The 15,509-nt window shown below is 36.9% G+C and overlaps 1 long non-coding RNA gene across 1 annotated transcript; it reads right to left on the reverse strand.

Annotated features, from left to right (window-relative positions):
- Nucleotides 1–2,354: 2,354 nt before the first annotated feature.
- On the reverse strand, nt 2,355–7,201 carry LOC124902478 (uncharacterized). The gene is made up of 2 exons (XR_007062237.1): nt 5,178–7,201; nt 2,355–3,818 (listed from the first exon to the last, which is right to left on the reverse strand). It is a non-coding gene; the product is annotated as an uncharacterized LOC124902478 (long non-coding RNA).
- Between the last annotated feature and the right edge of the window lie 8,308 nt (nt 7,202–15,509).

Consider the following 15,509-nt stretch of genomic DNA (forward strand, 5'->3'; position numbering starts at 1 on the left):
TAAATGTTTCTATTGGTTGAATTTTCATATTTTTTATTTCTCTTATTATTTCTTAAACTAAATAAACTATCTCAAAAAATAATTCGGATAGATTTTTAAATTCATGGCATGATAGACATCAGAAAATTATTCACCTTCAAAACTTCTGTCTGGCAATTTGATACAATGTCAAGATAATTTCAGTTTCTTAATTTCTTTCATATAGCAATCACTTAAATAATTGAAACAAACTTTCTAAGTCATATCCTTCCCTATTTATTCATAGTTATCCAATCAATTGAAATATTTTCCTGTAACTTCAACTATAATATAATAAGTGCTTTAATCAGATAAGTTTAAAGTTTAATCAACTCAGACTTCTATGTCTATGGAAATGTTTTAATAATCTAAACTAAAATCACCTACAATAATTCACTCACTCCTCTCAATGGTATTTGGTAGTTCAAGGAGGGGCATATGCCATGGGATTAGCCTTCAACGGCTTTGTATTGTATTAAGCAAAAATCATTTTCTTTAAACACAATATAAATTGCATTTTAATATCTCTATAGATTTCCATATTAACAAGTGGAAAGCACAGCAGATTTACTAAATAAACTTGAACAGAATTGCCTAGTGTTATTAATAATTTCACCTCCATATTTTAAAGATATAAATTTGCTTGTTTAAAAACCACCTGATGAAATTTTAGTACTTCTATTTTGAAAACAGGTAAGTTCAATGGCATTAGGGTCTTTGATGTCACAGTAAAGGTAAGCATATGCACATTGTTTGTGTTTTAAAAATAATCCATTATGTTGCAAAAATGCAGTTGGATCGTGTGTATGCGTATGTGTGTATGAAAGTGATATATAATGTCTAAAATATTACTCAAAAGCCAAAGATATTATTTGATAGGTGATATGGTTTGGCTCTGTGTCCCCACCCAAATCTCAAGTTGAATTGTAATCCTCAGTGTTGGGCGAGGGACCTGGTGGGAGGTGATTGGATCATAGGGGTGGAATTCCCCCTTGCTATTCTTGTGACAGTGAGTTCTCACGGGATCTGGTTGTTTAAAAGTGTGTAGCGATTCCCCCTTTGCTCTCTCTCCTGTCGTCATGTGAATATGTGCTTGCTTCCCCTTCCCCTTCTGCCATGATTGTAAGTTTCCTGAAGCCTCCTCAGCTATGCCTCCTGTACAACCTGCAGAACTGTAAGTCAATTAAACTTCTTTTCTTTATAAACTACCCAGTCTCAGGTAGTTCTTTATAGCAATGTGAGAACAGACTAATACAGTAGGCAAGTCATTACAAGTAGGTTAATTCAGGCCCACAGGGTTATTGGAAGCAAAAATCTACTAAGCCAGGAAGCCACTCCTCAAATGGTTTCTCAGTTCATAATGATATCAAATACTGTGACTTGATTGATGTTTTTTTCTCATTATATATTCCATTAACACTTGGAAAATAATCAGAAAAGGAATAAGGAAAATCTGAAAATCCCACTTACTATTAAAAATGTACTTATTATAATATTTTGAAAGTATGAAAAAGTATAAAATGGAAATAAAAATCACCTGTAATATCAATATCCAGAGATAATAACTTTTAACAGTTTGATATATACACACACACATATATGTACATATACATACATATACAAGGATATATACATAAATTTTTAAATTGGTATTAAATTACTATATATGTAGCTTCTTACCTGAAGTTCATTGGAAATTGTTTTTTTCATATTATTTATTTCCAAAATATGATTATTGATGAACATAATATATTACTGTTAGTATACAAGCTCCACGAGCACAGTGACTAAATCTGTCTTGTTCTTATAACCAGTAACAAGTATGCCATAATTTATTTAACTACTTCCTTAATGTTTGACGTTCAGGTGGTTTCCAAGTTTTCATTGCCATAAATGTTACAATATTATTAATGCATGAATGTTCCCTTTCTCTGACATTCCCCTTTATCTGACAGATGTTTAATTTTCATCTTCTCCCACCCTCGAAGGGGAGTTCTGTTTTGCCTGATGATTATTTGAGCTTTTGTGATGCAGATTCAGAGGGAAAGAAGTGAGGCTGGAGTTGAAGAACAAGAGGTATGTGGGCAGGACTGGAAGATAAATTTTCTGAGAATTTTGAAGGATAAGATGTGGGAGTAACTGTGTGAGGGAATTAGATGGGAGAATTAAAAAAAATTACCATGGTCTATGTAACCTCCTCACTGAGGTTTTTTAACGCAAGTACAGAAATTACAGAATCAAATTTTGGTTTTTTGTTTTGTTTTTTGTCTGTCAAATATACACCCTTGAATATTAGGGTAGCCCCATTTCTGAAATAAAGAACCTCCAAATCTCAGTGGCTTAACATCATTACAGTTTATTTCTCATGTCTCTTTCCGTCCAATGGTGGTACAGGGGTGGACTCCATGTGATGACATAGAGAACTCAGCTCCTTCCGTGTGGTGGATTTGATATCCTGCAGGGCCTCTGAGCCCTGCACTGATCCTTTTGCAACCTGCCTTGAGATGAAGAAGGAAAAGGAGCATGGAGGATCTGCAGGAGTTTAATGGGTCAGGCTAGAGGTGGCGTACATCACTTTTGCCCCCATTCCATTGCCCAGAACTCAGTCACATGGTCCCCACCTAGCTGCAAGGCAAATCAAGAATGTAGTTCATTGTGTTCCAGAGATAGTCTCTGCTATCATTTCCTATGCTATGAAGTCTTGATAAAACTGTTAACTCGAGGTACCTATGTTCCCTTGGCCAAATGGTAGACATAGGGCCTTGGTAAGGCTATTTGGAAGATCTTTCTCAGGTATTTGAATCTTGAGTACAGTGACAGAAGAAAGGAAAGTATTTGCAGTTGGCTCATCTTGAGGGTAACACCCTGTAAAATCCTTTATGTGTTCCTAAAACCTACACCCTTAGTGCAGCCTCATACTTATCTTTCATAAGGGCTATTCAGCTTTTCCTTCATGTCTGTGAACTACCCACATCCTTCCAAATAATTCTTTTTTTTTTTGTATGTTATCCACAATTATTCTTTGTTGCCTGTAACCAAAGGAACCTAATTAATACTGAACTTACAGTGTTTTAAAATTGTATTCAGTTGTTATTGATATGTGTTTCTCTGTTCACAACACTACTCTCAGATGATGGCTTTATAAGATTTACACAAATAATGTCAAGATAAATTGATTTGTACAAAAATCTTTACCCTATTTCTGATTATTTTCTTAGGTCAAATGCCTAGATCAAATGTATGTTTATTAAAATATAGTAATACTAATTATGTACTTCAGTCAATTAAATATTATTAATCTTTTCATATGATACACATTCCATTTCAGCTTTAGAAAATTGTGTTTTCAGCATTAATGTAATAGCAAACAGAAGAAAGCATACCTGAGCACTACACAACACAGTGCTCATGTTAAAGTTATATCGATGAACCTAACTGTGCCTTGAGGAAATCTGTACAGAAATTCTAGATACAGTATGAGCTTTCCTGGAGAGTGGTGCCCTCTGTTGCAAGAGAAAGGGAGGAAGGGAAGAGTGTAACTAGATCATTAGTGCAGGCTTCTGTGGCTTGTTTGGTTTCCATTACAGTCAGTTCAGATCTGGGATTTAGCAGAGGCCATTCCTTCCCCCTTCAGCGTTGTTTGTCTCTTTTCCTCTACGTAGTAACTTCTCAGCCTCCATAAAGCACCAGGCCACAACAGAATCAGTCCACATTAGTCAGTCGGGTCTTTATGAAATTGCCCATGAGGTCTTGTTGTTGCATGTAGACAAATTCAGAGAGAATTTGGTTTGTCTTCTTGGCTTAAGAAATAGGAAATTTGGGGATATAGGGATTCATGATTTTTACTGAGAGAAAAAGCCTTTTTTTTTAGCTTTGCATATCTAGAACAATTCATATACAATAATATTCAGCTGTGAAATTGAAGTAGCTTACATTCTTTTAAAATTCACCTCAGGTGTGGCCAACATGGCTGAGTGTTTTGTTGTTGTCTTACTTGTTGTGCTGTTTGAAAAATACATCCTTTACCAAAATATTACCATATAATGTTTTGAATTAATATTTAATGCTAAAATAAATATTTAAAGAAGCACAAACACAAAATTAATTAAATGAAGATAACTTACAGAGTAATACAAAAGAAAGAGTATACACTTTTAATAAGAATAGGGTGGAAAAAGTCTTAATTTGATACCAAAGGCAGAAGAAAATAAAAAAGCTTTTTAAAAGACACCTATTAAAAAGATCTGGTAGGATAATTTTGTGAGCAAATTTTAAAGTAAATAACATTTGTTTACTTATATAAATAAAATTCTCTAATGAGCCTGGAACAATTTATAGAAAAATAGGAATATTTCAAAAATGTGTCAATACATGACACTATTGCCAAATCTTATTAAACAAAAAGAGAACTACTGACCAATCTCACTTATAAATATATTGACACCCAAAATCCTAAACATAATAGTGGGAAATAGAATTAAATAAGACACTGAAAGGATTTTAGATTGCAAAAACGTATTAATCATTCTAGACTGCAAAGATATTATATTAGTAAGTCAATTAATATACTTTCTTAGCTGCCAACATTTGTCTATTTCCAAATCTATTCCTGGTTTTAAAAATAACAAACTGTGAAATAGGATTGGATATATCCCACCTGAATATATTTTTTAAATGCATATTGCAAATCTAAGGCCAGCACTATGCTCAGGGAAGAAATAATGGAAGTATTTCCATTAAAGTCAGAAATAAAGATGTCTTAGATCATCATAATAATTTAATATTTTTCTGAACCTCAAGCCAATGCTATTAAAGAAATGAAGTAAGAGGTATACATATTTAAAGGAAGGATGCAAAATTATTTCCAGCCAATAAAATTTTATATAATTTTTAAAAATTTATAATTTTCTGTGAAGCCCTGGAAAACTTCTGGAACTGTTAAGAGAATAAGTAAGGTAGCTAGCTTCAAAATAAATACACAATAATATGCAATCATTCTTCACATACCAGAGATAATCAGTAATCAAGCTACCACATATGCAATCATAATAAACACCAAAAATACAAAGAGCAAAAACTAAAAAGAAATGTGCAGCGATAAAAATTACAACATTTTACCAAGAAATACACAAGAATTGTCAAATAAATGAAAGACATACCTTGTTTGTGGACAGAAAGACTTGGTGTTGTAAAGATGTCAGTTCTTTAGTTCTTTCTCTAAAACAGACCATAACTTGTATGTAATGCCAGTCAAAATTACAACAGGATTATTTTAAAATTTAACAAAAATTATTTTTAAATTCATCTGCAAAGATGGTAACAAAAATTACGAAAGGACTAGAAGAGAGGGGTACACACTTTTTCTATTAGATAGTAACACCTTGTATTTAGCAGTAATAACAATAACAATACATGAATAGCATTGGTGCAGGAAAAGACAAATTGCCAAGGGACAGAGAATCCCGGAAACAGACACCAATCTCACATATTATGAGATTTAATGTATGACAAATGTGGCATTTTAAATCACAGGGAACAGATTGATTACTCACTAAATAATTGAAGACAACAAACTAGCCACATTAGGGGAAAAATTAAATTTCATAAATTCCAGTTAGATTAAAATTCTTAATAAATGTAAAAAGTGAAGCAAAAGTATGAGTAAACACTTTTAAAAACTATAGAATGGAACAAGTCTTTCTAAACTTGACACCAAAGCCAGAAGCCATCAGTGAAAATGAATTTACATACAAATTAAATATTTCTGGGCAACCAAAACAAAGAATCATAATTATTATAGACATTTGGAAAACAGAAGAAAAGTTTAGTAACACACATATTGGACAAAGAATTACTACTGTACAAAGAGCTCTTGAAAATCAATTATAAAAAGAAAAATGGTCAAAGACTATGCATAGTTGATTTACCAAAGAAGAAATTAAAGTAGATCAAAAAATAGAGATGTTCAGTTTCGTTATTTTCTCAAATATAAGTAAACAATAAAAAAATAAATCTTTTAAAACCATAAGATTGGCATCAGATAAATGTCAAAAGCCTAACACTGGCAAAAGGAAAGGAAATTTGGCATTATCAAAAACTTTTGATAGAGTATGAATAGACACAATTTTGGCAGGTCGGTCAATCCATATCATCATCATAAATGTTGCTATTTTTGTAATCCATGATAAATAAATCCCATCCAATCCAACAGTCTTATAACTACAAATTCTCCACAAAGAGATAATAACACAACAGGGAAAACATAAATGCATAAATATGCTTATTATTTTAGCATTCATAAAAGCGAAATTGAAAAGAAACAACAAAATCTCCATCACTGGATGATTGGTTAAAAACATGAGATACTCTGCTACCATTAAAAAATAAGAGTGTGTGTTTTTTTATTTACTGAGGTAGAAACATAATCTCAGCATGTTTTTTGTTTGTTTATCTGTTTGTTTGGCTTTGTTTTTGTTTTTTGAGACAGAGTCTGTCTCTGTCTCCCAGGCTATGGCGCATGCAGTGGTGCGATCTCTGCTCACCTCAACCTCCACCTCCCAGGTTCAAGTGATTCTCCTGCCACAGCCTCCCGAGTAGCTGGGACTACAGGCATGTGCCACCATGCCAGGCTAATTTTTGTATTTTTAGTAGAAATGCGGTTTCACCATGTTGGCCAGGCTAGTCTCGAACTCCGACCTCAAGTGATCCACCAGAGTGCTGGGATTACAAGCGTGAGCCACCATGCCTGACCTCTCAGCATGTTTTTAAGTGTGAAAAAATTAACCTGCAATGTAGCATAAACTTATTTACAAAGCATTATGTCCACATAGCTATATGTGTCTATATACATTTAGGTATCTGGAAGTTTATCTCTGAATGGTGAGATTTTTGTGATTTTATTGTCTTCTTAGTAGCTTTTTCTGCATTTAATTAGTTTGTCAATGAGTATGTCGTCCTAACTACAAAATATTAGTTTTTCAAAATAAATAGCCTTACCAACAAGATCACTATTTGCATTGTCTTTGTCCTTCCCTTTACATAAATACTACCACACCTTATCAATCTTGTGATATATTTTCTTCACATTTTCTTTCACCAGGATGCATCTTAAAATAGATGGCATCGGCCAGGCACAGTGGCTCACGTATGTAATCCTAGCACTTTGGGAGGCCAAGGCAGGCAGATCACGAGGTCAGGAGTTCGAGACCAGCCTAGCCAACACAGTGAAACCCCGTCTCTACTAAAAATAAAAAGTAGCCGGGCGTGGTGTCAGACGCCTGTAATCCCAGCTACTCAGGAGGCTGAGGCAGGAGAATTGCTTGAACCTGGGAGGCGGAGGTTGCAGTGAGCTGAGATCACACCACTGCACTCCAGCCTGGACAACAGAGCTAGACTCTGTCTCATAAAAAAAAAAAATAGATGGCATCTCACAATCGTTGTTGGCCAGCAGGATATCACGACATAGTTGTCATTGCCTGTGCATGTACAAACTTGGTCATGGTTATTCATATTGTCATCAATTAATTAATGCATTATTGGTATGGTTATATGTCACCTGACAGGGATACATTCTGAGAAATGCAATCATTAGGCAATTTTGTCATTGTGCAAACATCATCACAGAGCATACTGAAACTAGATGGTATAGTCTGCTACACATCGAGGCTATACAGGATAGCCATTATAATCTTATGGGACCACTGTCATGTATGCGGTCCACCCTTGAGTTATGCAACACATGACTGTACAGCATTTATTGAGTACAACTGGTATTTAAAATTACTTTGGTTACTACTGGTACATAACTAATTACCTCAAACCTTGGTGGCTTAAAATAACAACAAGCAGTTTATTATCTCTCATGGTTTCTGTGGACCAGAAATTTGGGAAGGGTTTGGTCAGGTGGTTCTAGTTAAGAAATATCTCATGAGCTCTTCAATACTAGCTGGAGCAGGTACAGCAGAAGTGGAGCAAGCAGGAGCAGCTGGAAACTGGCAAAGCATCTTTTGTCATGTAGTTTCAGGGCTTCTCCATGTAGTCCCTCTGGAGTTGGGCTAGTCTGGGCTTCCTCACAGCATGGCAGCCATAGGGTGGTCAGACAGTTAACATGGAGGCTCTGGGCTTCAGAGCAAGCGTTCCAGCAAGCACGGTGGAAGTTGCATCATCTTTTCGGACCTAGCTTCAAAAGTCATACCGTACCATATCTGAGGCATTCTTTTGGTTACCAGCAAGACAGAAACTAGCCTGGATTCAAGTGGGGAGAAACCAAGCCTCCCCTCTTAATGTGGATATAGTAAGGTTCTAGAAGCATGTGTGCAACAAGCGCTATTATTGTAGTCATCTTTGGGGAAAAAATATCTATCACAAGTGTTTTCAAAAATGTTACACCATTATTTAGCATTGAAATGTAGTTATTTTAAATCCAGAAAGGTACTGCAAGATAAAAATAAATCCATTTCTTTGTTGAACAGAGCTCTTTCAATAAGTGTAAAATAAAAATTCTAAGTGATAAGAAAGCAGTGTCTCATAGTTCAATCACCAGAATTTATTCTTGCTTAGTAGCTGTACCAGAGATGTCTTTCATTTCCCCTTGCAGATCCACTTCCCACACTCCTTGTGAGGCTGATGGTTAGACAATGTGGACGTGCTCCTGTGCCCTCTGGCTTCACGTTGGGTTGGACCAATGAGGAGGCCTGGCAGGAGATGGGAGGGAGAGGGGGAGTAATGGCAGAGCATTGGCTGCTCCCTTGCTCCCTCCTGGGAGCTTACCTGACCCACTCAATCTGCTCGACAAAGCTCTCCCCTTCCAGGTGTCTGTAACATCTTCCTCCTCTCATTCTTTTGTGGTGAGGTAGTGACAGCTTTTTAAATTCTAACCCCAGCTTCCTGCACATTTTTTTGTGGTTCCTCTACACCTTTGTAAATAAATCCCCTGCCGGTAGAGAGGTGCACAGAACAATGCCGCATCTTACAAGTAATGGCATCTTAGAAAAAATTAAGTACAGCTTTAAAACTGACTCATTCTCTTTCACTTTACATGTTAGCAAGATGTGCAGAGACTGGCCTGTCCAAGGCCTTCCCACTGTCGGGAGGTAGGCTGGTGGTAGGCAAGAGCTAAGGGGAGAGACATGAGAAAAATTCCCCACTGTAGAAGGCCATGGCTACTGGACTCAGGGCAATGATGCACTGTAGTATCTTCTATGCTAGAATTCCCTTGTGCTAAAGCACAATTCTTATGTGTTGCAGTAATATTTTTCTCAGTGTTACAGCCTGATCTTATCTATGGCCTAAGTAGGGCCTAAACCCACCCTTGCTGTGTAACAGAAATAGAAAAACAGCAAGAAGGGGGAACTGGTTACCAGACAGCAAGCAGTGACCTAAAAAAGCAGAGGATGCCTACATAGAAACACTTGAGTGAGCTGACAAGTAATGAGCAGAGTGGAATAAGGACATGAATGCTCTGCGGTGTCCCCGACATCTGGGGCGGAAAAGGTAAAAGACAGTACCCCCTTCTGCCACATATGACTCAGGGTGCCAAAGGAGAGAAGAAGGGGATCCCTGCAGACTGGGACGCCTAGGTTTCCTACAGGTTTAATCATATTTAGGTGAATGTATTTCTTGAATGCTCTTGTGCATGAGCCCATTCTTAGCCAGGTATATGCATTTTAGTGGTGGGAGCAAGCTAGAACTTCCCAAATCACCTTGAAATCTGCTTCACAGTTAGCAATTTAATACTCCCAGATACACCAGACATTCATTGCATTGAAAACCAGGCATATTCTTTTCAAATAGGATTGGAAGAAGGGACATTTTCCTACTTTCATCTGATTCTTTTGAAAGTTACCAGAAAAGAGTATCCAGACTCTGATTGGTTGTGGGAAGTTGCTTTATAAAAAGTCGGTTAACTTTTTTGAATAAAACCATTATCTCATAGATGACTGATAAGCTAACTTCAACAAAAATGAACTGTATTTTTTCTAATATAATAATTCTAATTATTAAAATTCATCAAGTAAAAAAATGCACTGATCACCAAAATTAATTAATTAATTAAATGGATCCTGAGGAAAGCCAGAGCTTTGTCACACCATGCACAGTTTATGGTGATAGAACTCTTGCAACTTTCTCCTTCTCTACTCTCTCCTATTTGCCAGATTATAAACATTTCTTCTACATGCAAAGATCCTCTGACTCCCCAATTGTAGTTGATACTTATCTTCTTTTACCTGGATATTTATGGTGTCTCCTAAAGATAAGCTATGATGTTGTATTTTGCCAAAGGTGTTCACCTCCCTTGAATGTGAATTTCTCCAGCATAATTCTTTAGTATTTCAAACGCAAATGAGAGTTATCTGAAAAATAATCTGCAAGACACCTCCCCTCATTCTGAGGCTTTCCTCTTTTCATGTGTTAATGGATTGATACATTTGTTGTGGAAGGTAAGGAAATAGATGTTTCTTCATACTACTCGGCCCCCACCTAAAATCATGAGGGTCTCCAAAACTCCACCTACCTACGGCAGCAACCCTGGATAAATATTACCAGGAGTCTCAATTGTCCACATGTGCAATGTTTGATGTATACACTTTATATCATAATTAATAGGTACATAAGTATAAAATGTTACACAATACAGTCAGTGAAGCAAAACGTTCACTCTTAAAATTCAAACTTTGAGATATTAGAAATGGGAAAACTGAACGAGCTTTTGCCATGTTTCTTTCAGTACAAGTTCTCTATTACGCAGAATTATTTTAGTTGCTGGTGTCAGAAACCCAATTCTGTGGTTTGCAGAAGAATTTTCTTTATAAAATTGAAGTTTTAAGGGACGTCAGTGTTTATGCCATTTTTCCAGTTCCAAAATGATTCCATTCCATTCTAGAAATTTGAAGTATGTAACCTGAAATCCTTAATAAAATTTGGATTTAATTTTATAAAATGTAAAAAAAAAAAAAAAAAAAAAACGAAATCTACTCGCTTGTAAAACTGGGAAAGGTCAGGGGTAATGTGGGCCTCAGGCACCATGAATTAAATGAACAACTATGGTGTTATTTGAATTCATTCACCTCCTGACTGTTTTTCTCTGCAGGGCAGCTGACAACCTCGGCAAGGCAGAAGTCACCATGAAAGCTTCCTTTTCTCAAGTATTTACCATTCAAAACTTTAGGGAAATTCATTAACATAAATTGGCAATGATATTAGATGATTTAATTTTGAAGGCAAATAAAAGGTTTTTGGAGGATACTGTTGCATTGCTGCTAGGAATATAAATTGGTCTAACCACTTTGTAAAACTATTAGGCAGTATTTACTAAAGCAAAATATACATGTGGTCTATGGCCCAGCAATTCCACTTCTGGGTATGTTCCCAAAAGAACTGAATGCTTGTGTTTATAAAAAGATATGTGCAAGAATAGTCATAGCAGCATTATACATAACAGTCTCCAAATGGAAACGAACCAATTATCTACTAATAATAAAATGAATAAATTGTGTTATATCCATACAATAGAATACATACAATTTTGAAAAGAAACAGCTAGTCCTACACACAGCGAGATGAATGGATCTCATAAACATTGACAAACTAGACACCAGAGAATACATATTATATTATTCTATTTATACAAAGTTCAAAAACAAGGAAAACTAACTTATGATAAGAGGTCAGAATATTAGTTACCTTTGCAGTTATTGAGTGGTGAAGGTATAAGTGATCTGCTAGGGTGCTGGAAATGCTCAATAATAAGGAAGTGGTAGTTATATGGATATGTAAAACTTCACCAAACTTTGATGTTCTTCATTGAATATAAAATATACCTCACCAGAAAGTTTAAAGAAAGGAGAAAAAAAAAGGTCCTTAGAGCAATAAAAAAAATACCTATGCCTGATACGCGATTGTCTTCTGGGCATACACATAGTACTCATCTGAGTACCCATCCAATTATTAAAAAAAATTCCTAAGAAGTGACATTTAATGTAACTTGTATATAAAATATTTGACTTTAAATACCTAATAAATGTTTGAACATTCATATATTTTACTTTATTATATTCTTATTTCTTCTTTACAATCTGTCTTAGAGTTCTAATAATTATAATTTTGAGAGCCTGTTTCTACTGTCAGTTTTTCCTTCTGGTTCTTACTTATTTCCTTATGTGTTTATTTGTTTACTAGGTACTGATAATGTCCTTGAAACAATATTAATGGGAATCCTTTGAAGACTAGACTTCTCCAAAGAGGATTTATGTCTGATAGCTTCAGGTGCCTGGAAGTATCAGCAATACACTCTGACCCACCTCCAACCAAATTCAGAAGCTTGGGGTCCCATAGACCACCTAGACAATGTAAACCAAGCCTGCAAATCTGTTTTAGAACAGACTATGGCTCCAACTTCTCAGGAAAGTTTTTTTCCCCCTTTTTCTTCCCTCCAACCAACTCAAGACAACCCTATCCAAAGATACCAAAGGGTGGAAATGGGAATTGAGTATTAGGGAGGCTGAAGTGGGTTTAGTTGTATTTAGTTTTTTCTCACACTGCTAATAATATAAAGAACTGCCTGAGCTGGGTAATTTATAAAGGAAAGAGGTTTAATTCACTTACAGTTCTACATGGTTGGGGAGCCCTCAGGAAACTTACAATCATGGCAGAAGGGGAAGCAAACCCATCCTTCTTCACAAGGTGGCAGGAGAGAGAAGAGTGAGGAGTGAAGGGAGAAGAGCCCTTATAAAACCATCAGATCTCATGCGAACTCACTATCACAAGAACAGCATGGGGGAAACTGCCCCCATGATCCAATCATCTCCCACCAGATCTCTCCCTAGATACTTAGGGATTACAATTCGGATGAGATTTGCGTGGGGACACAGAGTCAAACCATATCAGTTGTGGACTTTTACCCTGGGGATATCTCTGCTCTTTAAGGTCTGATCTTAATTTGGGGAGTCTCCTATTTGACTCTTCTTCTTGGGAGATCCCTTCATTTCTGTACTTGAAGCCCAACAGAAGTGAACCCCAGCTGCCCCTTACAGGCAGTTCCCTCAGAACAGAAACAGCTTTAGGCTCTGCTTACTTCTATGGGTTCGTTTCCCTCTCTGTTTCTTTATTATGTTGTCAGGTGCTCTCAAGGTATTTTTCTATTTTAATTTTATCCAGCTATTTTATTTCTTTTTACTAGAATCGTTGGTCTGAATAACATAGCCCACAAATTATACTTGAATCTTTCATTTATTCTTATCAACTTTGGTATTTTTCTGATACAAAAAGAATTTCCAAAATTAGATCACATTTCATGATTCTAAACTCATAAAATAGAAGGATCCTTCTTATTATAACGAAAAGAACATAACTCTTCCAATTATCATGGAATTTCAGAATAAAGCCCCAAACCAAAGACAAGAGGTGACTGTTTCCTCCACATTCTGAAGAGGAACTGTGGATCCACCAGACACCTCCCCTCAAGCCTTGGTGAGAATTAACTGGTTCTTTGACCCTGCAAGCCCCTCCATTCCCATCCTACCTAGCCCTTCTAGGCAAAATACCAAGTATGTTTTAAGAGGGTCAGGGTGGTACTGACTTCCAGGCCTTAGGGGCAAGAATTTTGGATTTTGTCCTCTCTGCTCATGAAGAAAGAAAGTGCTCTCCCTTCCAGACCAAATGACAGAGGCTCCTAGAGAAATTTTAAGAAACTGGAGGTTCTAGCAATAAGGTACCCCAGCAGGATGAGAGTGAGCTGCAGAAGCTTAGGGTGGATCCAAATAGGGTGTTGTGAGAGAATTTGAGAGAGCCTTACATGAGTTCCCTGGAGTGCAGAGATCAACCTGAATATAGAGACCAGTGCCTGCCTCTGGCCTAAGTCAGAGCTTCTCACACTTTAAGGTGCACATGAATCACCTGGGGATCATGGTAAAAAGCAGATTCTAATTCAGTGGGGCATGGGTGGAGCCTGAGGTTCTTTTGTATTTCTAGTAAGGTTCCACATGATGCTGCTGGTCCCTAGACCACACTTTAAGTAGCCGTGGCCTACAGAATTCTGAAAGTGGGAGGCTGGCTAGAACAATCCTCCAAAGCAAGGTGGAAGAAATAACAGTAGTGCCCAGTGAGGAGCCACACTTCTAGCTCTTGGCATGGCCAAGATGTGTGGCATTGCCCTTGTGCAAAATATAGGTCACAGAAGTAGGTAGGCTTGAGCTGGCTTGAATGTGACACCCAGAAGGATGGCCTGTAAGAAACAGAATCCCAGTAGTAGGAGGTCATGGAGCTTAGGGGGTCTTGGAAGAAGTTATCTGGAGAGCACAGAACCCACATCAGAATGGATTTATGTCCAATTGAACCAAAACATAACCCACAAAACGTCAGCCCGAAGACACCTGCCATATCAAAGAACAACAATAACGCCAGCTAACTAAAAATACTTCTGTTCCTTTTCCTCATGTGTTCCATTTCCTCTCATCTTCCCTCCTCTTCCAACCAGGGAAAAAAGTGAAAGGGTGGGATGTGTGAAACAAGAGACCACACTGTCTTTCGCACGAAAGCTCCCTGAGTTAAAGACCTCAGGTTAGGGCTGAGCTTCAGAAAAAGGACTTAAACTGGCTTTGGCACTGAAGCTTTCATCTGTATCATAATGGACTTTTTAATACTTTATTCTTTATCATTGAAAGGACATTTTCTTATCCCTGAAAGTGACCAGAAAGTTTTGGGCTTTGCCCACGTTGGTGTTTAGGGACCAGGAAAAGGGATCTGATGACCAAAGAGAAAAGAATGGTGAGAAGAAAATCCTGGACATAGCTGTATCCTTCATGAGGTTCAGCCCATTCCATAAACCAATTCTATAATACTTCATTGGCTCAATTTATAACCATTGCCTTAGCCAATTTGCTCATAAATCAAGGATTACCTGTATTTCAAATAATCACTGAATACCTCAAGAGGGAAGCTTCTTTCTAAATAATTTCAGGTTTAAAAGAATCAGTTCAACCATTGTGGAAGTCAGTGTGGCGATTCCTCAGGGATCTAGAACTAGAAATACCATTTGACCCAGCCATTCCATTACTGGGTATATACCCAAAGGACTATAAATCATGCTGCTATAAAGACACATGCACACATATGTTTATTGCGGCACTATTCACAATAGCAAAGACTTGGAACCAACCCAAATGTCCAACAATGATAGACTGGATTAAGAAAATGTGGCACATATACACCATGGAATACTATGCAGCCATAAAAAAGGATGAGTTCATGTCCTTTGTAGGGACATGGATGAAATTGGAAATAGTCATTCTCAGTAAACTATCACAAGGACAAAAACCAAACACTGCATGTTCTCACTTATAGGTGGGAATTGAACAATGAGAACACATGGACACAGGAAGGGGAACATCACACTCTGGGGACTGTTGTGGGGTGGGGGGAGGGGGGAGGGATAGCATTAGGAGATATACCTGATGCTAAATGACGAGTTAATGGGTGCAGCACACCAGCATGGC

Source organism: Homo sapiens, chromosome 10 (assembly GCF_000001405.40).
Source record: "Homo sapiens chromosome 10, GRCh38.p14 Primary Assembly".
In the NCBI taxonomy this organism is placed as follows: domain Eukaryota; kingdom Metazoa; phylum Chordata; class Mammalia; order Primates; family Hominidae; genus Homo; species Homo sapiens.